Source organism: Homo sapiens, chromosome 6 (genome assembly GCF_000001405.40).
Source record: "Homo sapiens chromosome 6, GRCh38.p14 Primary Assembly".
Classification (NCBI taxonomy): domain Eukaryota; kingdom Metazoa; phylum Chordata; class Mammalia; order Primates; family Hominidae; genus Homo; species Homo sapiens.
In genome coordinates, this window is record NC_000006.12 from 15,325,982 (window position 1) to 15,351,049 (window position 25,068).

Consider the following 25,068-nt stretch of genomic DNA (forward strand, 5'->3'; position numbering starts at 1 on the left):
TTTCTGTTAACATGTAATGATTGTATAATTTTCTAAATGAATTAATATGAAATTTGTTTTAATTTCTAGTATGGTAAATATCAATGTGTATATGAAACCCAGGTAAACAGTAGCTTTTTTGAGTCCTGAAAATATGCAGTACACTTCTATGCAGCCTCTCCTAATTGCAGAAGTATCAACCCATGGTGAATTTTGTTTCATTTACACCTTTACTCTAAGTGAAGCAAATCTCAGACATTTTTTTGGGGGGTGGAAGGTGGAGACAGGGTGGAGTTCAGTGGTGGTGCCATCATAGCTCACTGTGACCTCAAACACCTGGGCTTATGCAATACTCTCGCCTCAGCCTTCTCACTAGCTAGGACCGCATGTGTGCACCACCATACCCAGCTAATTTTTATTTTTGGTAGATGGGGTCTCACTATGTTGCTCAGGCTGTCCTTGAAGTCCTGGCCCCATGCCTTAGCCTTCCAAAGTGCTGAGGTTACAGGAGTGAGCCACCACGCCTGGCCTGTCAGTATTAATGTTTTTATTTTCTTTGGAGACAGATTCTGGCTCTGTAACCCAGGCTGGAGTGCAGTGGCTCGATCTTCGCTCACTGCGACCTCCACCTCCCAGACTCAGACAGTTCTCATGCCTCAGCCTCCCAGGTAGCTGGGACTACAGGTATGTGCCACTGCACATGGATAATTTTGTATTTTTAGTAGAGACATGGTTTCACCATGTTGGCCTTACTGGTCTCAAACTCCTGGCCTAAAGTGATCAGTCCACCTTGGCCTCCGAAAGTTCTGGGATAATAGGCGTCAGCCACCACGTCCAGCACAGCATTAATTTTTAAAAGCTGTGAATTCTATTTAGAGAAAACATACCCATGATAATGATAACATAATGAGTCAAGTGTTCAGATTTCCCCTACTGTCAGTCTCATGTTTTCAAATAAGGTCTATACATTGATACTGGTTGGGTTGATAAAACATGTTTGTTTTTAATCTCTCTGTCCCTTTAATTTGTTGTTCTTGAGGAAATGAGGTCACTTGTTCCAAGTGCCACAGCTTTTGAGAGTGAAGGTGGGTCATTTAATCTGGCAGCAACATTTGGGCCCGACCTGAAACACGGCTGATGGGTTTTGCTTTGGGATCTTTTTTCTCCCCTTTCTCTTACTCTGTTAGCCTCCTTCCTCCTTTTCTTTTTTGGGGTTGGTGCTGTTTCTTTTTTAAAAATTTGTTTTTTAAATAGACAAATAAAAATGGTAACTTCTAGGTTCCTTTTTTGTTTTCTTTTTTAAGAGACGGTCTTGCCCTGTCACCCAGGTTGGAGTGCAGTGGTGCTATCATAGCTGGCTGCATAGGTGCCTTTTGACTCGCCTCCACCCCACCCCTGCACATTTTCATATTATAGTCCCTTATCAGTCTCAGGGCATAACTCTGCAGTATGTGTAACATTCAGCATACTTGGTGAGGCCACGAGGGGGAGATCTGATGATGGCATCTAGGGCAGGTATAAATGTGAGTGATACTGCATTCAGCTGCCATCCCTTCCATTCTGGAAGAGTGTGTGTGTGTGTGTGTGTGTGCGCGTGTGTGTGCGTGTGCATGTGCGTGCATCCCCGCATGCTGCCAGTGGGTGGTGGGGAGGAGTAGAGAGGACTAAGAATGAGGGAGGGAGGTCATAAAGGACACAGGAAGCCTTGGAAAGAAGGGCACGTAGCAATCTCTGGGGTAAAACAGCAGAACTATAGAAATTTGGTTCTAGGACAGTCTTTATAAAAAGAATAAATTCAAGAAGCAGATGAATGGGCTTGGTTGTGACCTGGACTGCAACGCGGTCTCTGCTGTCTTTACTTTCACATTCTTGTCCTTCAAGGCTCAATGTTATGTCTTTTGTGAAGCGTTTTTCATCCCCCACTTAGATGCATTTTCCGTGTTGGAGTAGCTGTGTTGTGCACCTCGTTTGTATTTGTCTCCACACACATTATACAGTATCTTGTTTGTTTTCAGAGAACCCCTACCATCCCCAGCCTAGCCACCTTTGATTCATCTTAGTGGATTGCCAGTGAATATTTATTACAGGCCCAGGACATGTAGCTGTTCAATAAATATTGGTGCAATGGAAGACTCTCCTCTGTGTGAGAGTTCATGAAGGGAACCAGGAGGTGAATTTTAAGGGTCAGTGGCTTGCAACACTCCTGGAAGGGCTTTCCAGGACCTCTTCTGAGGTCCGAAGAAGCAAAGATCACCCCCCACAAAGTCACCTGTATGGAATTCAGGTAGCGATAGAGCTTGTGAACAGGATCTCCAAATTCTCCAAAACATAGTAAAGCTGCTATTTACTGGGCACCCGCTGTGTACCAGGCACTGGGCAGGATGATATGCTTTACATGTATTACTTGCAATTCCTAATAACACCAGTGTCTGCAGGTTGCTGTTGCAGGTTGCAAGTTACTGTGCTGCCTTATACCTGTAGTTACTTGAAATGCTGAAAATCGAAGGTAATAGAAAAACTTATTATCATTTAGTGTCATTGGGAGCGTTAAGTGATTAGATGTATGGTGCTTAGAACATTGCTAAATTTTATTGACTGCTTAATCCTGTTGTTCCAGAAGCAGAATTTGATGTATACAATTGTTTATCTAGGTTGCCCAGTGTAATATAGTAAGTGTTAAAGCCAGGACCACAGCCTCGTTTACTCCAGACTTCAGAACATCCATACAGTCAAAATGTGTGTCTGTGGCCTCAAAGTAAGAGATTCAGATGGTCAAGAAACACCTTCCTCTGTTTCAAATTCACGATGACTTCATTTACACCTGTGCAGCACATGTTAATATGGCATGGGCTATTATTGCTGCAGGAAGGGTACCTGTCAAGTATGTAGAGTGCAAAGGACCCTTCCTTAGATGTCTAGCTGCTGAGGCCCCACCTGTGTGGGGATGGGCATGGAGGCACCTGCCTTGTTCAAGAAGCCTGTGAACAGTGACCAGCAGTAAAAGCCAGAGAGATCTTCAAATGTAGTATCTTAATAATGGGCTTTTTTTTTCTAGTTCTTCTTTTTCCCTTGGGGCCACATGAGCATCTGTACACCTATTGTAAACCCATTGTGTCAAGGAAACAAAGTAGGTCAGAAACAGGATTTAGGAACCCAAAGAAATAATCTTTGTTGATGCTTAAATTGAATGAGGCAGAAACAAATGTCTCTTTAATATGGTTTTTTTTTTTTGGGGGATTATTTTGGTATCACCCCAAGCCTGTAATTCCCTCCTTAGTCATCATCTTACTATCCCTTGGGACTCTGGCCTGGGATTCTTCTGCTTTGTGGTTGTGATTAATCCTGCAATGAGTGAGTTGGGGAGGGATGGGCCTGGGGAAGTCAGCTGCTGCTAGCAGCAAGCAGGGGTAGGGTTTATAGGGAGAGTTGACATCCTGCTGGGATCTAACAGAAAAGTTTGAAGATTATTGTGCTGAAATAAACTAGCTCACAATTTTGCTGTTTGACTCAGGGCAAGCTCACTGTAAATCTCAAGGAGTACTGGACTGTATGATGGCCTCTTTTGCTGTCCTTATCCCCACTGGAGGATGCACAGATTAGTTAATGTCTCCCTTTCATGAATGCAGCTTTTATCTTTAATAAGCGGGTTAAACCGCATGCGCTCTGTCTAGTCTGTGAAGGTCAGCCAGCCATTCGGATTTTATCTTCCCATTTCTAGACTGCTGACAGAGTTCTTGTGCAAAGTTAGGAATCTTTGGGTTTTAAAATGTTTTCTTCCTTTGCCCATCCATGACATGCCCTTATTCTTGAGGGGAGGAAAAAGAAGGCCTGAGTCTCTGTTAGGTTGCAAATATTGTCTATTTTTTGGGAGTGATCTTTGTAGAATCTGGGCAGTGACTTTTGTTGTTTTGTAGTCCTGATGATTTAAAAAACATATCTCATATATTTCTTTACATACAGCTCAGAGCTCAACATTGAAATAGATGTTCAGCAGATTCTTGCCCCCACTTAATTTTCACTGGGTTTCTGGGTTTTTACTGTGATTAAACTTGACATTCATTTAAGGAATGAGTTGTGATGTTCTCTGGTCATGACCTAAGGAAAAGGATATATATGTGCTCTAGGAGTGAATTCTGGTGAGAACGTTTGTATTCTTTCCTTTCCTCTTTGATTTCACAAGTCAGGCTGTAACTTTAAAAGAAACTATAGGGGCTGTTCCCCAGGTTATTCACAAAACGAGTCTTTGTCTGCTTTTTCATTCACCATCTGGTATACAAAGCTAAATTGGAATCGTGCTTGTTTTAATTATTTTCTACTTGTGTGGCCAGGAGGTTATTTGGTCTGGTGAGGTTACATTATAAGCCTGCGCACTCATTAATACCACCGAATCCACATCCTGCGCCAGCATTGGAATGGTTAAGTTGATCCACTTGTGTGGCCAGAGTTTGATACAACACAGTGGTCACGACCACATTACCGGAGGAAGTATGGTGTGTGGGTTTTGCCCTCTTCTTTTTTCATTTTTTCTTCCAATAATGTTAATTGTTTCAGTGTATTTTTTCTTCCAGTAGAAATATGACTTAGGTTGGCAATCTTAGATTAGTGCCTGGTGTTTATTAAAGGGACAATGTATTTCAAAAATCAGTTCTAATATATTAAAAGCATAGAGTGTAAATTAGGAAAACAGTCAAAACATTTAACATTTTGAACACTTCACAGAATGAGTAATGGAAATAGTGTAGCCAGAAACTTCTCTGCGTGGTCATTATTATTGGTGAATCAGCCAAAAGATGCAATCATTGCTAAGAGGTATTGTTTAATACTGGGAAAGTCACATCAAAAGCTTTCTCAAAAAATATATATTTTAAGTCCTCCTTCCATTCTTCACTTTCCTGTCTTGGGGAGACAGAATACTTCAAAGTAGTCTGTTTTTAAAAGGTGACTTCTTTCAGGTTTTGGGAAAGAGTGTTATGTGTTGTAATTAAGTAATTGTTCCCTAAGATAGTCCTTAAGTACAAGGACATCTCACTAGACTTCATTGTCTTGTGAAAGGAGCGGTATTTCAGGAATTAACTACTCATTTAATAAAGCAAAAAGGCTGGATGTGATAGCTCACACCTGCAATCCTAGCACTTTGGGAGGCTGAGGCAGTTCGATCACTTGAGCCCAGGAGACTAGCCTGGGTGATATGGCAAAATCCTGTCTCTACAAAAAAATACAAAAATTAGCTGGGCATGGTGGCACACACCTCTAACCCCAACTAGTTGGGTGTCTGAGGTAGGTGGATTGCTTGAGCCTAGGAGGTCAAGGCTATAATGAGTCATGATTGCACCACTGCACTCCAGCCTGGGTGGCAGAGAGAGAGATCCTGCCTCAAAAAAAACAAAAACAAAAACAAAAAAAACAAAAAACCTGTAGGCCAGGAGTGGTGAAGGAAAACAGAAAGAGTGCCCTTAGAAGTATAATACTGGAAACTGTCTTTTTGAGCAACACTTTAAGAAATACCCCAGACTGAATGGGGAATTCACAACATTTTGCATTTGTCAAAACCTGTAGAATGTAGAACACAAAGAGTAAGTGAATCCTAATGTAAGCTGTGACTTCCATTAATAGTACGGTGGGGGGCCGGGTGCAGTGGCTCACGTCTGTAATCCCAGCACTTTGGGAGGCTGAGGCAGGCTGATCACCTGAGGTCGGGAGTTCGAGATCAGTCTGACCAACATGGAGAAACCCCGACTCTACAAAAATTAGCCGGGTATGTTGGCAGGAGAATCGCTTGAACCCAGGAGGTGGAGGTTGCAGTGAGCCGAGATTGTGCCATTGCACTCCAGCCTGGGCAACAAGAGTGAAACTCCATTTCATAAAAAGTACGGTGGGACCCCCTTTCTGCAGTTTCGCTTTCTGTGGTTTCTTAAAATAAACAGGTGTCTGAAAATATTAAATAGAAAATTCTAATTCATAAGTTAAAAAAAAAATCCTAGACTTAATGTCCCTCCTTCCGGACTGTATTGTTCTGTTTGATATTTGTGAGCACACCTGCTAAGCCAGTCCATTAGAACTGCATGCTTGATGCAGGAACTGATGCCCTCAGAAAGTCTGCTTGAAAATAGTCGCAGTGCCAAGCTCGAAACCAGTTGCTCTTCGCCATATGTCAGAGTGAGGAAGGAAGGGTGGGGGGATTAGAATGTGCTAGGAAAAAATTCCGACAAAGAATTAGAATTTTATGCAGAAACAACTATTGATAATTTATTAATATTTACAGGGCATGTCAAATGGTTCTGTGAGAAAAACCAAATTAGCAAGCTACCTCAGGAATTTAATTTTTAGATATATCTGAATATTAACTGGGGCTCAAACATGCCAGACAATTCTTTTAGTAATGAATTAGAATATATCATGTAATACTGTTACCATCCAAGACTCCCAGTGTTAACACCAAATCTTAATTTTCATTTCATTAACCTGGCAGGTATTTGAAAGCAGCATTGTATCAAAACAGCTTTATTATGTAGAAGGAGCAATATTTAATAGCTCTGTTCCAAATTACTCCTAACTTCCCTGTATTTCTGAAGGAATATTTATTATAGTGACAAAAGCCTGTACAGCAGCTCCAGGAGAAGAGACCACAGTGTTTAGAAAAAGAAATTGGCTTGCAGCTGTGGTGGGCGCTACTTGTGTAAGTCCAGCTGTCCCCCTTGAGCTCCTGCCAGTCTGATAGGCCTTCTAAGTTGTTGCAAGACCTGAACAGTTCACTTGTCTAGATCCTGCAGAGCTGGAAAGAGAACAATTTTTTTGTGTGTGTGTTTGTCCTAAGAAATAATCCAAAATAGTTTTCAATACATACATTCGTTGTCTGTCTACTCCTTGTTTCTTAAGGTTCTTCCCGTATTCTTCTGTTATTTTTAAAAGAATAACAGCTTTATAGAAATGTAATCCTCACACCATAAAATTTACCCTTTCTTTTCTTTTCTTTTCTTTTTTTTTTTTTTTTTTTTTTTGGAGACGGAGTCGCCCAGGCTGGAGTGCAGTGGCCCCATCTCTGCTAACTGCAGGCTCCGCCTCCCGGGTTCACGCCATTCTCCTGCCTCAGCCTCCCGAGTAGCTTGGGACTACAGGCGCCCACCACCAGGCCCGGCTAATTTTTTGTATTTTTAGTAGAGACGGGGTTTCACTGTGTTAGCCAGGATGGTCTTGATCTCCTGACCTCGTGATCCACCCGCCTCGGCCTCCCAAAGTGCTGGGATTGCAGGCATGAGCCACCGTGCCCGGCACATTTACCCTTTTAAAGTATATACAACTCGGTGTTTTTTAGTATATTCACAGTTAGGCAAGCCATTACTACTATGTAATTGTGGACTATTTTCATCAATCCAAAAGGAAATCTTGTACTGATCAGCAGTTATTATTTCTTCCCAGGCCCTAGCAACCACTAATGTCCTTTCTGTCACTGGATATTCCTATTTTGGCCACTTCATATAAATGGAATCATATGCTATGTGGCCATACGTGTATGGCGTCTTTCACTTAGTATTATGTTTCTCCATGTTCCGTGAATCAGTACTTCATTTCTAATCTCCTCCTTTTTCAGTTCTTAGAATGGTGGTTAAATACACATAACACCAAATTTATCATTTTAACCATTTTTTGTGTGTACAATTCGGTGGCACTGACAACATTTGCAGTGTTGTGCAACCATCACCACTATCCATTTCCAGAATGTATTCCTTATTATTGCTGAAAAAAATTACATTGTATGAACACTGCATCTTATTTATCTAACCATCATATATTCTAGCTATTTGAGTGCCAGATTGGTTCAGTAAATACGTGGGTGAAAGAGAATAGCATTATGCATGATCAGGAATGAAATTCAAAGTTGGTGCCATAACATACAAGTGACTAGGGAGTCTTGGGGCCAGGGAAACCTAAAGGTAATCTTTTCAAAGGAGCCACCTATCAGGATGTTCTGGAGAATAGAAGGGTGCTTCCCCCGCCCCGAGACTGGTTTGGATGAACACACAAAATATATTTAGTGGGCAAACCTTTAAAATATGACATCTTAGCGTGCGGAAGTCCATAACCCCAAAGGAGGGCTTGCTCAGTACATGCAGAGGTGTTCCCAGAGCATGTATAAGTCTGTACGGTTGTGCAAACAGGAATTGATCTGACAGCGTGAAGACACAGCAGCCTTCTCTAATTAAAGCCTCTTGATGACATTAAACTGTGTTGCTTAATTACAATAAATCATACATTAACAGATCATGTCTCCAAAGAAGCATTGTCAGTGTGCTGCATAATGGAATAAAATTTGACCTTGTAATCACAGGGGTTCCTATGGAACAGTGGCTTATGTCACCAATAGGAACATGAGCCCTAGAGTTACTTTGGCAGAAGTCAGATCTTAGAATGCTTCCTTATAATTCTGTTTCTATAAAAATGTTTTTTCTATATTGATACGTATTTTAATGTGAGGATGCTTTTTATATACCTTGAAGGAGTAAGGTTTTCCATTCATTCCCTGCCACTACTTTTCTGATCACCCCCTCTTCATTTCAAGCTAGTCTGGATTTGACATAATTTTTACAGCAGTTTTTGCATACTCCTTTTACCATGTGCTTGCTCCTTTTGCTGTTTTCCATTGCGCTTTGGGGTACCAGCTTTCTGACTGACAGATGGGCCAAGTCAGGTACAGGCTGTTGTTACCAAAGGGCATCTTCCATCATGTTGTTTGTTTCTTCAATACTGTAATATTTGAGAGAGTGTACAACTCTAGATACAGAAGGCCTTTTGAAATTCTACACAAAGTCACAATAAAACTTGGGGTACTGTGGGCCTGGGGAGATTCTAGTTCCTGTTCAAAACTACTACTGCCATTTAAAGAACTGGAATATAACTGCATATCATACCACCTAGACTCATGAATATTGCTATTTTCATTGGTTTAATTTTCAAAAATTAGTGGTATTAAACCAGTGGGGTATATTTAATTTCTTCATGATGCAGATTATTAAACACTCACCAGCCTTACTTTCTCTCTTGATTTTATAAATGGTAATTGAAAGTCCATAGATTTTAGGTTTGTGGAACTGGAATGGGCCCCCAGGGGATATTCAGTCCACACCCCTCTTTTTTTTTCTTTTTTCCTCCTTCTTCTTTCCAGAGACAGTCTTGCTCCTTCACCCAGGCTGGAGTACAGTGGCTTGATTTCGGCTCACTGCAACCTCCGTCTCGTGGCTTCAAGCGATTCTCATGCCTCAGCCTCCCAAGTAGCTGGGATTACAGGCATGTGCCACTATGCCCGGCTAATTTTTGTATTTTTAGTAGAGACAGGGTTTCACCGTGTTGGCCAGGCTGGTCTTGAACTCCAGGCCTCAAGCGATCTGCCCACTTCGGCCACCCAAAGGGCTGGGATTGCTGGTGTGAGCCACTGCTCCTGGCCCACACCCCTCATTTTTCACTTGACCATGTTAGGTATGTCAGAGTCACCTTGCTTCTGGCAGGTCAGCCTCCTATAGTGCTGTTTAGAACTTCACATTTGACAGGTTTGACTGTTTTAGAAGTTCTCTGCTCTTCCTTCACATCTGGGATGCCATCATTCATTCTTTGTTCTCTTCTGTGTGAACATGGTCTTGTTGCAGTTCCCCTTTCTCTGCCTGCCTGTCCACATTGAGGTGTCCCTGGGGGGTGTCTTTTCTCCTAGTGTCCACTGTCCACACTGCAAGAGTGTGCTGGAGACTCCCAGATTTTCTGTCTGTGCCCCTCAAGCCTTAAGCATTCCTATGTGCTGCTCAGTGTTTCTGTGGACCAACAGCTGGAGCAGGCTCTGTATCTCCTCCTCCAGAGCATGGCCCCTTTGGCATGATGGCTTACCCCTGTAATCCCAGCACTTTGGGAGTCTGGGGGACGGATTGCTTGAACCCAGGAATTTGAGACCAGTCTGGGCAAAACCCCATCTCTATACACAACACACAAAAAAATAGCCAGAGGTGGTGGTATGTACCCGTGGTCCCAGCTACTCAAGAGGCTAAGGTGGAAGGATTGCTTGAGCTGAGGATTGGAGGTTGCAGTGAGCTGAGATTGTGCCACTGCACTCCAGTCTGGGTGACAGAGACCCGTCTCCAAGGGTGAATGAATGAATGAATGAATGAATGAATGAATAAATAAATAAATAAAGGCATGGCCCCTTTATCATCCCAGAAGAGAGGTAATTCCGGTGAGTGCTGTGGAGATCAGTGGCTGCCTTTTCCTGAAACTGAAAAACAGGTGGGGAATCTGAGGGAGGGAAGGAAAAGTATATCAAGCCTAACTAATTTATTTTTGTGTTTAACAACACTGGTGGTTCAGTAATATTTCGCTATTGCGAAGATTTCTGTATATTGTTGTTAAAAATAGGAACCTAAGATTAAATGTTTGTGGCTTTTCATGTTTTGGAATGAACTACTTTGGTCAAACTCAAAAAGTAATGCTTGCTAACTTAGTTAGAGCTGGAGTATAGATTTTAATTCTACATTTAAGACAATATTTGTAAATGCCTGTGTACAATGACATATAATAAGGGTCTTGTAGGGAAACCGTTTTGTCTGGGGAAAGAATGTTCCCCAATGTTGAACACTACTGTCTGGAGCTTGTTAAAAACATACCCCCTTCAGTGTTCTAATTTAGCATTGGTTCACTAGTAAAATTCAGGATTCTTTTTTTTTTTTTTTTAATAGATTTGGCAGTATACAGTTCTGTACGTTTCATGTTATTTTTACATTTGTTTTTAAAATTTAAGAGATGAGGTCTCACCATGCTGCCCCAGGCTGGTCTCCATCTGGGCTCAAGTGATCCTCCCACCTTGGCCTCCCAAGGTGCTGGGATTACCTGTGCGAGCCACTGTATTTTTTCACTCTCTTACTGTAATTCTGTTGCGCAGTCAGGATTGGAGACTTAGTGATCTGGTTAGCAAGTTCTCTCGCCAGAGAAGAGTTAACTTATTTTTAGTATTCAGAGTGTAGTTCAGTAAGTCACACATAAAAATCAATTTGTTATTTGTAATCACTCCACTTAAATGTGTAATGGGAAAGGTTCCATTGTCCTCCTCGCAGGGTGAGTGTAAACGAATGCGAAACTGTCTCTCTTCCTGCCTCTCTTCCAAAACCCTGCCATCTCTTTCCTGCGGCTGAGAGGCTCTGCTTCCCTTCATGCAGTTTTAAACCACCCTAACTGCCGATCAAAACCCCCAGACCTTGTCTCTTCTCTCTCTTACATGAGAGAGGTTTGAATGGCTCTTATCTCTTTCCTTACAATGTTAAGAGTTTTCCTCTAGGCATTGGCAATATTACTAAGTAAAATGAGCATTAGGCTCAGCTGCCAAAGATGCACATCAGACCAGATGTTCCTAGAGGTGCCATGTATGTGTCTCTAAAGCTCGACAGACACAGGCACTCATGGCTCAGGGCACCTCCTGTTATCCTTTCCTCTCCCAGCTTGGGTGGCTATGCATGCCTGCAGCAGGCAAGGTCTGAGCCCAACAGCCACGATGGGGGAGGTGGGTGGTAGAAAGCCATGGTGGTAGCTGAGACCCTACAGGGCCAATGGATGGGCACTTCTCGTCTGCCACACCAATGGAACCCCTGCCCGAGGAATTCAACCTGGTCTGAACTGGGAAAAGACATAAGGATTAGGGGGGGTCCACTTGCACTAAGCAAGGGGCTTTCTCCCCCCACCCCCCTGAATTTTCCCCTTTTTGCCTCTTAAACTGTTTCTCTCTTTTTTTCCTTTTCTGAGTGAGAAGGGTCCCCCTCCCAACTCTGTTTCTGATAGGGAAGTTAACGAAGGAACGGCCCCTGCTGGCTGAGAACTGCAGATTTGAGAGGGCACATTTGAGACACTCTACACAGATACAAACAGCCTCTAAAATGCTTTTTCAGTCCCAAACTTGATTCCAAGCTTCAGGCAGAGGCCCTAGAAAGAAAAACCAGGTCTGAGGGTTCCGAGGCCAGGCAACAGGCACAATGTAAATAGGAAGGACCAAGTCCTGCCAACCAAATCCTCCACCTCACGGAAGGACGCCATGCTTCATGGTGTAAACAGGCCCAGGGAACTCAGTTTGCCGACAGCAGGGAGAAATGGAGGCGTAGGTGAGGGCAGTTAATTCCTATTCTCCAGGTTTTCTTTGCTTCATGGGTATGTACTGCAGTGGTACCTATGGCTGGCCCAGGGATAAGAAGTGGAGAGTGAAAGGAGGCCACTCGCTTTCTCTGTCACAGCCTGAGTTTTCGCTGAAAGAAGGAAGGGAATGAGGGACGCCTCTATTCCCTGTCTTTCAGAATGGGCAACCAGTTCTCTTCACCACTCCCAGCTTATACTCCTCTGGAGTGTGTCCTAAACCATTGGGACTGCATTGACTCTCAGAATCTGGAGGAAAAATGCGTCGTAGCCCTCTGCACAAAGGTTTAGCCAAATTACGATTTACAGAAAGGACTGGCTTGGCTTCAGAAAGAAACCATTTATTTTGATACCATTTGGCAAATCTGTAGACATTGAGGACAGATGGGCTGAGGCCCCATATGTGCAGGCTTTGTATACCTTGCAAGGCAATCCAGACCTTTGCCGACAATATAGGATTGATCCAGCCCTCCTGTTTGCTGTCTCAGGGAAGGCTGCAAGGGGCAAGCCCAGGAAAGTAAAGAGGCACTCCCAGCAGAGGAACCAGCTCCCTCTAGCCCTGCCCCTATGGTCCACCCCAACTTCCCTATCTAGCTTCAGCCTCTCACTTGCTCCCTCCTAAAAATTCTTGCTCTCAACAAGGCCCAGTCTCACTCTTTCCCTTCCAGCAGATGCCCTTTGAATTTGGGCCCAGTAAGGCCCAGTTACCCTTCTCCCTACAGGACTTAAAGCAAATTAAGGAGGATCTTGGCAAGTTTTCAGATGACCCTGATAAGATATATAGAGGCTTTTCAGAATTTCACTAAAATATTTGAACTCTCCTGGAGAGAGGTTATGTTACTTTTGAATTAAGACCTTGACGAACACTGAGAAGCAGGCTGCTCTGCAAGCAGCAGAGAGATTTGGGGATGAGCTTTACGTCACATACAGCATCAGGGAAGGGGGCAAACATTATCCAACTGGAAGAGCAGTACTAATGGATGACCTTAAATGGGATCCCAGTGACGAGGTGGAAGACGGGAAGCGGAGACACTTTCAGGTGTGCATAATGGAAGGCTTACCTAGAACTAGGACCGGGCCTCTCAATTATACTAAGTTGTCCATGATTGACCAGGGATTTGGAGAAAATCCCACTGCCTCCCTGGAAAGGCTAAGAGAGGCCTTAGTAAAGCACACCTCCCTATCTCCTGATTCAGCCAAGGGACAGCTAATCCTAAAGGATAAATATATTACTCAGGCAGCCCCTGATATCAGGAGGAAGTTGCAAAAACTGGCCCTGGGACCAGAAATTACATTAGAGGACCTCTGGAAAGTGGCTACCTCAGTCTCTTATAAAAAAGAGAGAAGATGCAGGTATTCCCAGGGTGCACCTCTTAACTGCTAAAGATAGGGCAAGAACAGTTATCTCTCCCGCCCCACCCGCCCTGCTTTTTTTTTTTTCCTTAAGAGAGTTTCGCTCTTGTTACCCAGGCCGGAGTGCAATGGTGCGATCTCGGCTCACCGCAACCTCTGCCTCCTGGGTTCAAGCGATTCTCCTGCCTCAGCCTCCTGAGTAGCTGGGATTACAGGCATGTGCCTCCACACCCAGCTAATTTTGTATTTTTAGTGGAGACAGGGTTTCACCATGTTGGTCAGGCTGGTCTCGAACTCCCAACCTCAGGTGATGTGCCCTCGTCGGCCTCCCAAAGTGGTGGGATTACAGGCGTGAGCCACCATGCCTGGCCCAGTTAGCTCTCTTCTAAAGTTTATCTGCTCCCATACAAGGTTTCATTTCTTTCACCAGGGAGAAAAAACTCAGAGGACAATGTTGCTGTTAGTATATTTCACTTCTTATCTCTATGATCTTTGGCATTAATTTTTTTTTTTTGAATTGGAGTCTTGCCTTGCTGCCCAGGCTGCAGTGCAGTGGTGTGATCTTGTCTCACTGCAACCTCTGACTCCCGGGTTCATGCAATTCTCCCACCTCAGCCTCCTCAGTAGCTGGGATTACAGGTGCATGCCACCATGCCCGACTGACATTTGTATTTTTGTCCACTGCACCCGGCCTCAGATGCCATGTTCTAATGGGCTGTGTCTATAAAGTTATTAAAGAACAAGGGCCAAGTAATTTGGGGTGCCTTTGAAGTGCTGAGCATGGCCTTTCCAATTTGTGTGCACCTTCTTTCATTCTTACTTTACAAATGAAGGAAGCTGATGTCCAGTGAGGTCATACAGCAGGTACAATAATGGGCTGATTTCTGAGCCTGATTCTCAATCTGTGACTTGTGCGACATCATTGTACTTTTGATACTTTGTCATTAGTTGGGTGTGGATTTTACTACCTGGGAGTAGTTATGAACAACCAGTTTGGTGCTAATGAAAAGTAGTTGTGATTCCTTGACTAGATATGCCAACCTTCAGGTTTATAAAGACTACTCTCATCTTGCTTTGGCTGGTCTTTGTAGTGGATGGATATTGGAGAAACCCATGAGGTGATATATATGAAACAATATATTGGGGCAGACTTTTATTCATTCATTCCTAGGACTTAGGAGCCCTGCTGGTGTTCTGTATTGTGCCCCATTTATAGCCATGATGGTAGAGTTAGATTTATGAAGCTGAGGCCGTGATCTTTATTTCAATCCTACTTGGTCGTTTGCTGGTCAGAAATGTGTCTCGTTCCTCTTTAGTGGGAAAAATGTGAGTGTGAATGTAAGATAGTTTTAGATAACACTCAGTTGGCCTTATGACCTATCTGAAGTCCTGAAGTCAGCTATGGGATTACGATGTTTGCCTCCAAGCTGTGTCTTGGGAAGGGATGAGTCTTTCTCTGCATAGTAATTTAAACCTGGTCAAAGACCTGACCACCTCGAAGCAGGAAGCGGTGCTAATACACTTTCTATATCCAAGGACAGTTATCTCTTTTAAAAAGAAGTGAAACAAAAGAGACTGTATTCAAAAGGAAGTCTTTTCTTTTATACCCACGCTCTCCTTCCTGCCCATGTGATGTTAGAAAAAGTGTTATTTTCACTGTTACATAAAATTTTTTGATGGGTTCTTCTGTGCAGTTTTGAGATGTTTCCTAGCTGATGGAAAAGTATAAAAAATTCATGCAGAAATAATGCCTGCTGCCCAGCCCATTTTTTCTTGCTTCATGTACCTACTGTTTACATAAATGTTTTTCCCTCCCATATGTTCTTTTTTACTCTTCCACATTTGAGTGGAAGATATTTAAAAAGTTTTCTTATGTATACTTATGATTTTACTTGGAAACAGCAAATGTAAGGTCTAGAAGCAGAGGGGCTTTCAGCTTCTCTGCAACACACAGGAAAGTAGACAAAGTTTCTAGGGCAGGCCCCAGCCTCCAGGGTAAGATAGGCATGTGCCAGCAACCTTGCCTACCCGTCATGACCCTGCCATATTATAGGTACTGAGTCATGCTTCAACAAGGCTTCCCACACTTCATTGACTGGACCTTCTGTTTTGTCATCAGAATAATTTATATTTGTATATAAAATTTCTTGGTGGGGGGTAATACTGTACTCTAGCAGTGACTGAAGAGGTGCCAAGTAAGTTTGCCACCTATTGTGGGTTTAGTCTTTATTGTTAGTAAATGGCAAAGAGAAATCGATGAAAGGCAGAGTTTAGAGTAGTGCCCGCTTAAGGGCAAGATGACATAGTATCTGCATTGATAGACTCAATAAATGTTTAAACAAATGAAATGACATAGTTTAATATTATGGGAGGGTGTGTGATACTGATCATGACTCAAACTGTAGAAAGAAGAGTGAATATTCTTTCATTATTTCAATCCTATTTAAGTCCTGTTGAGTACAGTTCCATACCCTATTTTGTATTTGATTTACAAGAGCAATATATTTTTATCTTAGAACATTTGGGCTTTCTGCTAAAATAAAAAGGGGGGGGACAGCATTTATACCACACAGTGATAATTATTACCATTTTGTGGTATCCATTTTTCTTTTCTTTTTCTTCACCAAGTTGGGTAAAACATCGAGAAACAAAACAGAAACAATCCCCGGAGCAGCATTGCACATGCTCAGTCTCTCAAAGTCTGGCTTTTAAATAATTTTCTGCATCTTTCCTTGTAATTGGGTGGAGAATGTTCCACTGGGCAGCTGAGTTGAATCGCCACAATCTCTCCACTTGGCCTCTGTGCGACTTACTGTAAACATCTATTGTCTCCCAGGCAGTATGCAGTGTGATCCCTCTCCCCACCCATTGTGCCCATTTAGCCTCTGGGACTACCCCCACAAGGGTGGAAACCTGGGGCAGAGCAGACACTAAATACTGTCCAACTAGGGTGGTTGGATGCTCCAGGTTTGTCAGCCCAGTCACTGTCCTGCATTGCCTCCTAGAATTTATTAGCACCTACCTAGCATTGGGGTATCTAATTCAAACTAATTAGAATTAGTTTGATCTAATTCTGTGCTGTTGAAAGTAACAAAGTAGTGAGCTTAGTGCACCTTCATAATTAACTCCTTATGATAAAAAGGAGTGAATTGCTTATTCAGAATATACACATTTTTAATGGGGGGTATTCTATTAAGTTCTATTAACTTTTCTAGTTTGTTAAAATTATAGAAAAATTTGTGGTTTATACTGGCAAAATTTTCCATAAAATTATTCAACTAGCTTCTTCTTCAAAGTGAACATTATTATGCATCTTGACCTTTTCCCACCTCGTTATTTTGTGTCGTTACTTACCCATAATTTAGGTGTTTAGTACTAGTACTAAGTTAGGAAATTATTACTGAGGTGCTTTGATTGAAGACGCCTTTACTGAGTCCTTGGGAAGTAAAATAGTGACGGTTAGGCCTGGAGCAGTGGCTCACGCCTGTAATCCCAACATTTTGGGAGGCCAAGACATTTTGTGGTATCCAGTGTTTTGGGCGGGTTACCTGAGGTCAGGAGTTTGAGACCAGCCTGGCCAGTGTGGTGAAACCCCATCTCTACTAAAAATACAAAAATTAGCCGGGTGTGGTGTTCATATCTGTAATCGCAGCTACTTGGGAGGCTGAGGCAGGAGAAGCACTTGAACTCGGGAGGTGGAGGTTGCAGTGAGCCGAGATCGTGCCATTGCACTCCAGCCTGGGCGACAAGAACGAAACTCCGTCAAAAAAAAAAAAAAAAAAAAAAAGGGAATAGCTGCTTTACTTCACAGTCCTAGTTAAGGATTTAAAAAAAAAAAAAAGCTCATGAGCATGCTCTTCAAATTTTGGTTTTGTGATTTCTGGGGTTTTCCCATTTAATTCCAGATGGAAGAGTGTCATTAAGTTCTCTTCAAATGTAACCAAATTTAGTGTGTATTATTATTGCTGGTGGAATACAATGATGGTGAATATCCCATTAAAAACTCCTCCCTAGCCCCTAATCACATTGAAGTTACATTAAAGAGTTGGATGTGTATTGAAAGTATGATAGTCTCTTGCTATAAAATTAGGCTATTGTGCAGTCAAAGAGGCCTCTGCTAAGTGTGGTTCCATTTTGGTGTATTTGGAGGGAGAGGAAGGGCAGCCGGTATCCTGTCACTGTGTCCCCCAACATTGAGCAGATGTTCTCTGAGTTAATGTTGCTCTTCAGTTATCTTTGACAGAAGCAGGGTCTGGTTAAGATCAGATTGTTTAGACTAATGTACATTGATCTTGGCATAATGATCACAAGACTATAAGCCAGCTAGACAAGCAAGTGCTGGTGGTGAGTTGTTAGATTAAAAAAACAAAGCAGTTGTTTTGAGAATAACTTCGGTGCCCTGGACTTACATTACAAGACATTGGTTTTGTTGTATGCTACTTTTAGATTTACCTGGGAGGACCTTTTACTTAATAAATAGCTCCAGACTATTAAGCTCGGTGCTGCTGATCCTGCGGAGAGGACCCGGACCTGAGAGTTAGTGGGAGCCACCCTTTCAGACAGACAGGGCGTTGAATGCAAAATTCTCTTGAATTTTAAGGAAGTACATGATAATCTGTTTTACTTGGGAGTATGTAGTGATTTTTTTTTTTTTTTTTTTTTTTTTTGTAAATTTCCAAGGGTGGCTGTGAAACTTACTTTCGTGGTAGTGGTGGACCCTTGAAGCGTTTTTGGAAAGTAGATGAAAGAGGGAGATGTTTACTAATTCTGTTATTTTTATTCAGTGGGTGGTGCTTGAGTGGGTATAATTTCCTCTCTAACATTCTGTCATGTTCCATGTAACTTAGATAAAGCACACTCTGGCATATAGGAATTTCCCTACTTGCTTACCTTGGGATGTGGAGTGTGTGTGGCTTTGTCAGACTCGGCTGATGTAATGAAAAATGGAATTAAAAAACGTGACTGAGAGTCCTACTAAAGTCTGAGCTCTCTGGTTTAAAAAAAAACCAACGCAGCTGTATTGCTATGTCTCACTTACCATATACAGTTCACCCATTTAAAGTGTACAATTCTTTTTTTTTTTTTAACTGTTAGGTTGTGCAAGCATCACAATTTAAGTCCAAAACATTCCCATTCCTCAGTCTCTGATTGTAGAAACAAATGATCTATGACTATTTCTTACCATGAGTATGCAGATTATTTGATGCACAGCTTTTTATTTTACCTTCTTTATAGATTTCCACCCAGGAAAAAATTTTAATCCCAGGTTGTCTCTTACTTGTATGAAGTTTTCTGTAATAATTTCTTAATTATTGTAATTCTATGAACATCAACTGAAATGTAATTTTATTAATAGCTTATTCTGTAAAAATGCTATTAATAATAATAAAAATATCAAAAAACGTTTTGAAGGCATTGCATTACCTGCCGTTTTGGATTATGATCATTCTTTTGTGTGGATAGTTGAAGATTTTAATTTTTTGACAAGCTCAATTGAATTAGGGAAGTAAGTTTGCTGCTATTGCAAAATCATATAATGCATGTTAAATATCAGTTATCAGTGTAATTTGTTTTTTTAATGCAGCAGCTGGTTTCTAGGCTTAGGAATGATAGTTGGCAGATTTTCCTACTGCTTTCCTGTGATGTTTGTTAGAAGCTTCTAGTATAGTTTCTTCATTTCTAAGCTTTTGAGACTGATTGTATGCTGCTTATCTATATATGTAGATAAGTTTCTTGTCTTTCAAGGTCTTTTCAAGAGGTGCTGGAGCAGATTTAGGAACGCAGCATAGTTTAATATTGTTAAGCAGGGATGTGTACCTGAATCTCTTTTGGAAGTACAAAAATTCACCAAGTTGGTACCTCCGGCTACCCAACTCTGATATGGAAACCTGGGGTGATCTGCTGTCAATTACGAGTTGCACCTCAGCTAGAGAACCGTTGTTAATTTATTTGTCCTCTAATTGAAAATCTGGAGCTCGAGCTTACTCATTGATCTTGGTCTAGTTACTGTATTCCCATCCTTTCCTGTGTAATTGAGAAAGAGCTTTTGATAGGAAGTAGTATATGGAAAAGTAATTCAACCTCTTGGAATTTTCAACTAAAATTCAGTTCATAATTAAACATATTAATTTATTTAATATTATTCGTTCCCATTGCTGGGACCGAAATAAGACCATAAGTGCATTTTATACATTTTCTAGCTTTTATAAGTTTGCTTCCTTTAAAATACCGATTTTGACTTTATTCCTCTTAGATGGAAATTTTCTGAGAAAGAATTCCATTTTCTTACGTTTTCTTAGAGTTACATGGGCAACATTGTAGTTCAGCACAGCCCTTGGGTTGCTGGGAGTCTGTTACTGGGTCATTGAGCCTTGGGTGGACCAGAAGGCTCACACTGATGAAGCCTTGGGAAGGGAACTGCCTGGGATTGAATCTCTGCTCTGCTGCTTATCCAGGTTTGCAACTTGGGATAAGTTAGCTTTTCTTTCATGGAGTGGTGATATATGAAACATACATTCCGTAAGTGTTCGTGGTTTTGTTGTCGTTCAGCTGTCTGTATTAGAAATAATGAATTATTATTCAGTGATTTTTCCTGTCTGATAAAAGTCTGTTGTCAGATGTAGATTGGACGCTTAGAGGTTCAGGGTCTTTCATCTAGTTAAATGCGCATTAAAGCATCTATTTGGTGAACATTACTTTTGTGGCATAAAATAGTTTAAATGTGCTTCCCAAAGATCCTGGCTTCCATTAAGATATTCATTTATTCATTAGGAGAGTAATTCATTTTTTATTACACAGTAGCTTATAGCAGGTGTTAGAAACTCCAGTTAACACTAATGGCAATCAGCATTTAACTTTTTTCTTTACTGTCTGCTGTTTTGTGGTTTTCCACCATTTATTCTTAATTGTCATATATAGTGGAAGTAATTAAATCCATGAGTCGCCTCCTCTTGTTATAAATGTTTGTACCCCTTTTAAGTTTGCTTGGCTTTCTCAGATTCTGGTTTCAATTAACATGCTTATGATTTTCTGGGTTTGCAGGGCAGATTAGTAGGCTTTGGTGTGGCTTTTTTCTTTCTTCCTTTCTGCCTTTACGCGTTTGGTTGATGCATCTGTGTACCTAACCCACTTCTCTGGGAGAGGGGATGTGGAGCCATCGTTTTGTCTTGATCTCCAGGAGCCTTGCTTGATTTTGTTTGTTCTGCTCTAACAACGTCTGGATGCTTGTAGTGACCAGCTTGTAGTGGTCAAGTTATTCCTATTGAAGTAATTGTAATTTTTTTTTTTTTTTTGAGACAGTCTTGCTTTGTCACCCAGTCTGGAGCGCAGTGGTGTGATCTCGGTTCACTGCAACCTCCACCTCCTGGGTTCAAGCAGTGCTCCTTCCTCTGCCTCCCAAGTAGCTAGGAATACAGGTGCTTGCCACCACACCCATCTAATTTTTGTATTTTTAGTAGAGACAGGGTTTCACCATGTTGGCTAGGCTGCTCTCGAACTCCTGACCTTGTGATCTGCCTGCCTCAGCCTCCCAAAGTGCCGGGATTACAGGTGTGAGCCACCATTCCCTGGCAGTAATTGTAATATTTTATATCAGAAGAAAAGATAGGTAGACTGTTTTCTTAAAGCAGTATTTGTCATCCCTGAGACATTTCGTGGTTAAGAACATGAGAACACATGTGAAGTAACTAAATATTCAGCAGCTACTATATATTTAAGTAGTTGGGTTGAGAATTTAGCTATAATTTATGGGCAGAATGAGGATATGGGGAAAAGAAGGACCCAGGTAGGTGGTGAAATGCTATCCTAAACCTTTTGAAAGTATTTAGAAAGGAAGTATGTTGATGAAATGCAGGACTTAACGAGAATGTGTGTGGGGAGGTGGTGGGAAGTATGGGAGAAGTGCACATGCTTGATGATGAGAGAAATGATTATTTTGTTTCATGCAAGCAAGCATTCTTCTCAGTATTTTAACCTTTTAAACCATCAGAATTCATTTTGCCTTCCCTGATTCCTCACGTGGTTGGTGAGCATTTGAGAAAAATATTTTATTTTCCATGATATGTGTTTAGATTCCTGGGTATACTCTCTAATGTATTATTGTTGAGCTTGTGTAAGAAAATGAGATGAAGAATGAGATATTCTTCACCAATTACACCAATGACTTTTTAAAAAGTAGAATTCTGTTGGGGTTTAAACATTTCCACTTTGTGTATGTTGGTGGTGATGGCTCAAAAATCCTTTACTGGACAAGGAAGTATATTCATTTATTTTTCAGAGCGGATCTCGCTCTGTCACGCAAGCTGGAGTGCAGTGGCGCTATCATGGCTCACAATAGCCTCTTCCTCCAGGCCTCAAGTGGAGGCTCAAGTAGAGGCTCACAATAGCCTCTACCTTCCTGCCACCTCAGCCTTGCAAATAGCTGGGATCACAGGTGCATGCCACCATGCCCAGTTGATTTTAAAAATGTTTTTGTATTGATGCTGTCTTCCTATTTTGCCCAGGCTGGTCTTGAACTCCTGGGCTCAAGAGGAAGCATCCAAAGTGCTGGGTTACAGGTGTGAGCCACCACACCCAGCTGCAAGGAAGTTTAGTTATTTTATTTTTCTTATAATTATTATTATTTTTGTTTTGTTCTGTTTTTTTTTTGAGATGGAGTCTAGCTCTGTCACCCAAGCTGTAGTGCAGTGGTGTGATCTCGGCTCACTGCAATGTCCGCCTCCTGGGTTCAAGCAATTCTCCTGCCTCAGCCTCCCGAATAGCTGGGATTACAGCCGCCCGCCACCACACCCGGCTAATTTTTATATTTTTAGTAGAGATGGGCTTTCACCATGTTGGCCAGTCCGGTCTGGAACTCCTGACCTCGTGATCAGTCTGCCTCAGCCTCCCAAAGTGTTGGGATTACAGGCGTGAGCCACGGCACCTGGCCAATTATTTCTTTTAATTCTATTTTTTTCTATGAATATTCTTTGCAGTAGATAATCTTTGTGTGGAGGGGTTCTCAGTATTTTTTAAATTATATTTTATAAACTTCCATGGGCTGGGACTGGTTCAGAGTCTTCATAAGCTCATAGAAATGCTTTAAAGTTTGAACTTAATTAAATTTTTTTTTCTAGAAGTTAACTTGTGGGTTTTCTTTTCCTCTTCTCTTCAGTTATACTTGAAAAGGTAGAGAGAATTGCTCTTGCTTTCTTCTCGAGTATAAAAATGTCAAACATTGTTCTTTATTCTTCGCTGAAACCATACAGGTAAAAAGCCCACAGTCAAGCTTTTGCAGACCCAGCTCCCAGCTAGATGAGAAGCAGCTGCAACAGGAGAACTAGCGTGGGGAGCTCTAACCAGAGTAGGCTTTGCTGTTTAGGTTTAGTGGTTGCTATTTTCTACCTCTTTGTGAATGGAGAGGTGGAGGCGGATGAATTAAGCCAATTAATTGGAAAAGAAATACTTACTTCAGTAGCATACCATCTGAAGCAATAGGATGGAAGTTTAAGACTTGTTAATTAAGACCATGAAAGAACTCCATGGACAATGTTGAAAAGGGTTTTCACATTAACTGTGTGTGTATTAGGAAGGGAAAAATGTTTTCACTGAGATTCCTGAAACCATATTGCAACATGAGTTTCCCTCTTGACCTTGCAGCTTATGTTGGTCTGCTTTTCAATATTAAAAGAAAAATGTGGATCCCATCTATGAAGTCATAGCTCATTTAGGGGTGATGTGGTAGATAGGTCCTGGTTAGTTTTGAAGGACCTAATTGCTATATTAGGTTTTATTTTCTAATCCAAGATGGTGACTTTTTGTTGGAGGTGGGAGATACTAAAGAAAAATGTTCCATCTGGATGGAATTTTGTGGGCAGGTAAGTTTTTAGTGTCTCCATCCACAACCACAACAACATTGTGTGCCCTAATTAGTTACGTGTGTGAAGTGGGCCTAACTGGAGTAGCCAGTGAGAATGACTTGGACGTTTTCAGAAGAATTATTTGCAGGTTGGAAAATTCTCACTTCTATTTCCAGGATTGTTCAGTCTGGAGGAACAGTACAAATTAAAGTGCACTGTTTTAGAAGTGGGACTGGATTTTGGCATTGGCAGCTCCATAATTGTAGTTTTGGCCAAAGATCACTGATGGCTTTTGACTCATCACGCGTGAGGAGCTCCTGCAGGAATGCTGAAGAAAAAAGGAAGGGATTCCATGAAGGGAAGTAAAAACCAGAGCAGAAACACCGAGCTTCCCAGTTCCTCTCCCCCACCACCCCTTACGCTAGTGCTGCATTCTATCAAAAGACAGAAGGAAAGATGAAGGCTGGGGATGCTACCTCCTTCCCGCAAGCAATGCCTTATTCTGGCCTTCAGCTTAATACATCATCTCTTCTAGCTTGAATCCTTGCAGGTACTCTTTTTTGGAGATGAGACGGACACCGTTGAAATGTATATACAATGACAGAGTTTATTCTCAGGCTATGATTCTGCGTCTTTTGCTAAGGATGTCAAATCTGGATATTCTCGGTTCTTGTGGTCCCGTATTATTGGTTAGATGAGGAAAGTTAACAGAGATGGGTTGAGTGGAAGTAGCTGGGCCCACCATGTCCTGGATCTTAATGTTGGATAAGTCTGCTGTATTGTTTGTTGAACTCTGCAAGCCCAGCATCTGTTTTAACACGCGGCTGGAATTTGGGGAGACAGCCCTTTCCATCAAGCTTGAGGCTGTGACCTGAGGCATACATCAGTAACGTCACAGAATCATGATCAGAAAGGTCTAAGGGTGAAGTCACAGAATCATGATCAATAAGATCTAAGGGACTGGGAAACCAATATGCTGTTATTTTTGTGCTGCATGTTGACCAAGCACCTGAAATGAAGGAAATAAGCTGTGTTTTGCAGGATTTCTGATGAAGGCAGACCTCACCTGGCTCACTCAGTTTCTCCGTGTCTTGAGCTGGAGATGTTAATCAAAACGTGCATCTAATCAGGTGTTCGTCTTCATTAGTAACACGGAGACTCTATAGCTAGTGGGAAGAACTTTGGTGTTACTGACTTAGCTGATTCCAAGATGTGCTCGGTATTCACATTTTAAAATGCCTAAAATGACAAACAACCCATTTGCATCAGTCACCTTGTTCTCATAGCCTGAGTATGAGTGAATTTGGTCCAGGTTGTTCATAACCTCATCACTTCCTTATAGTCATCGTTGGGCCTTCACTGATTGCATTTAATTGCTATTTAAACAAGATTCACATGGATTTCATTTCAATGCCAAATCATAGTTTAAGGTTTTTTTTTTTTTTTTTTTGAATTAACAAAGGCATAGAAACTGAGTGGCAGCAGGCTGTACATTTGATTTTAGTGAAATATTTGGTGTGGGAGGAATGACCAAAATTTCACTTTTGATTGCAAAATAACTCCCAAATATTTTTGGCAACCTAGTAACAGGAAGACGGTCCTCAAAGTTATGTTAGGTCCTCAAGGATTGCTTACTTATTCCAGGGTAGCTGGAGGCAGGAGAAACTGCCACATCCTTGTACTGAAAGAGATTTCAAAGTAAAAAAAAAAAAAGCAGATATCTTGGATTAAGGGTTACTAAATAGCAGTC

The 25,068-nt window shown here is 41.7% G+C and overlaps 1 protein-coding gene across 14 annotated transcripts in view, besides 4 other annotated features; it reads left to right on the forward strand.

Annotated features, from left to right (window-relative positions):
• JARID2 (jumonji and AT-rich interaction domain containing 2) overlaps nt 1-25,068 on the forward strand; it is a 275,974-nt gene that overhangs the window by 79,913 nt on the left and 170,993 nt on the right. The gene's annotated exons all lie outside the window — the stretch shown is intronic.
• Nucleotides 1,284-1,333: a silencer, noted in NCBI's record as "silent region_16951". NCBI's record gives its function as "represses an Ori minimal core promoter by ATAC-STARR-seq in GM12878 lymphoblastoid cells {active_cell/tissue: GM12878}" and the evidence as "EXISTENCE:reporter gene assay evidence [ECO:0000049][PMID:35858748]".
• Nucleotides 9,804-9,853: an enhancer, noted in NCBI's record as "active region_24075". NCBI's record gives its function as "activates an Ori minimal core promoter by ATAC-STARR-seq in GM12878 lymphoblastoid cells {active_cell/tissue: GM12878}" and the evidence as "EXISTENCE:reporter gene assay evidence [ECO:0000049][PMID:35858748]".
• Nucleotides 9,974-10,123: an enhancer, noted in NCBI's record as "active region_24076". NCBI's record gives its function as "activates an Ori minimal core promoter by ATAC-STARR-seq in GM12878 lymphoblastoid cells {active_cell/tissue: GM12878}" and the evidence as "EXISTENCE:reporter gene assay evidence [ECO:0000049][PMID:35858748]".
• Nucleotides 10,997-11,516: an enhancer, noted in NCBI's record as "H3K4me1 hESC enhancer chr6:15337209-15337728 (GRCh37/hg19 assembly coordinates)". NCBI's record gives its function as "activates a minimal SCP1, AML or CMV promoter by ChIP-STARR-seq in naive and primed H9 embryonic stem cells {active_cell/tissue: H9 hESC(naive and primed)}" and the evidence as "EXISTENCE:reporter gene assay evidence [ECO:0000049][PMID:30033119]".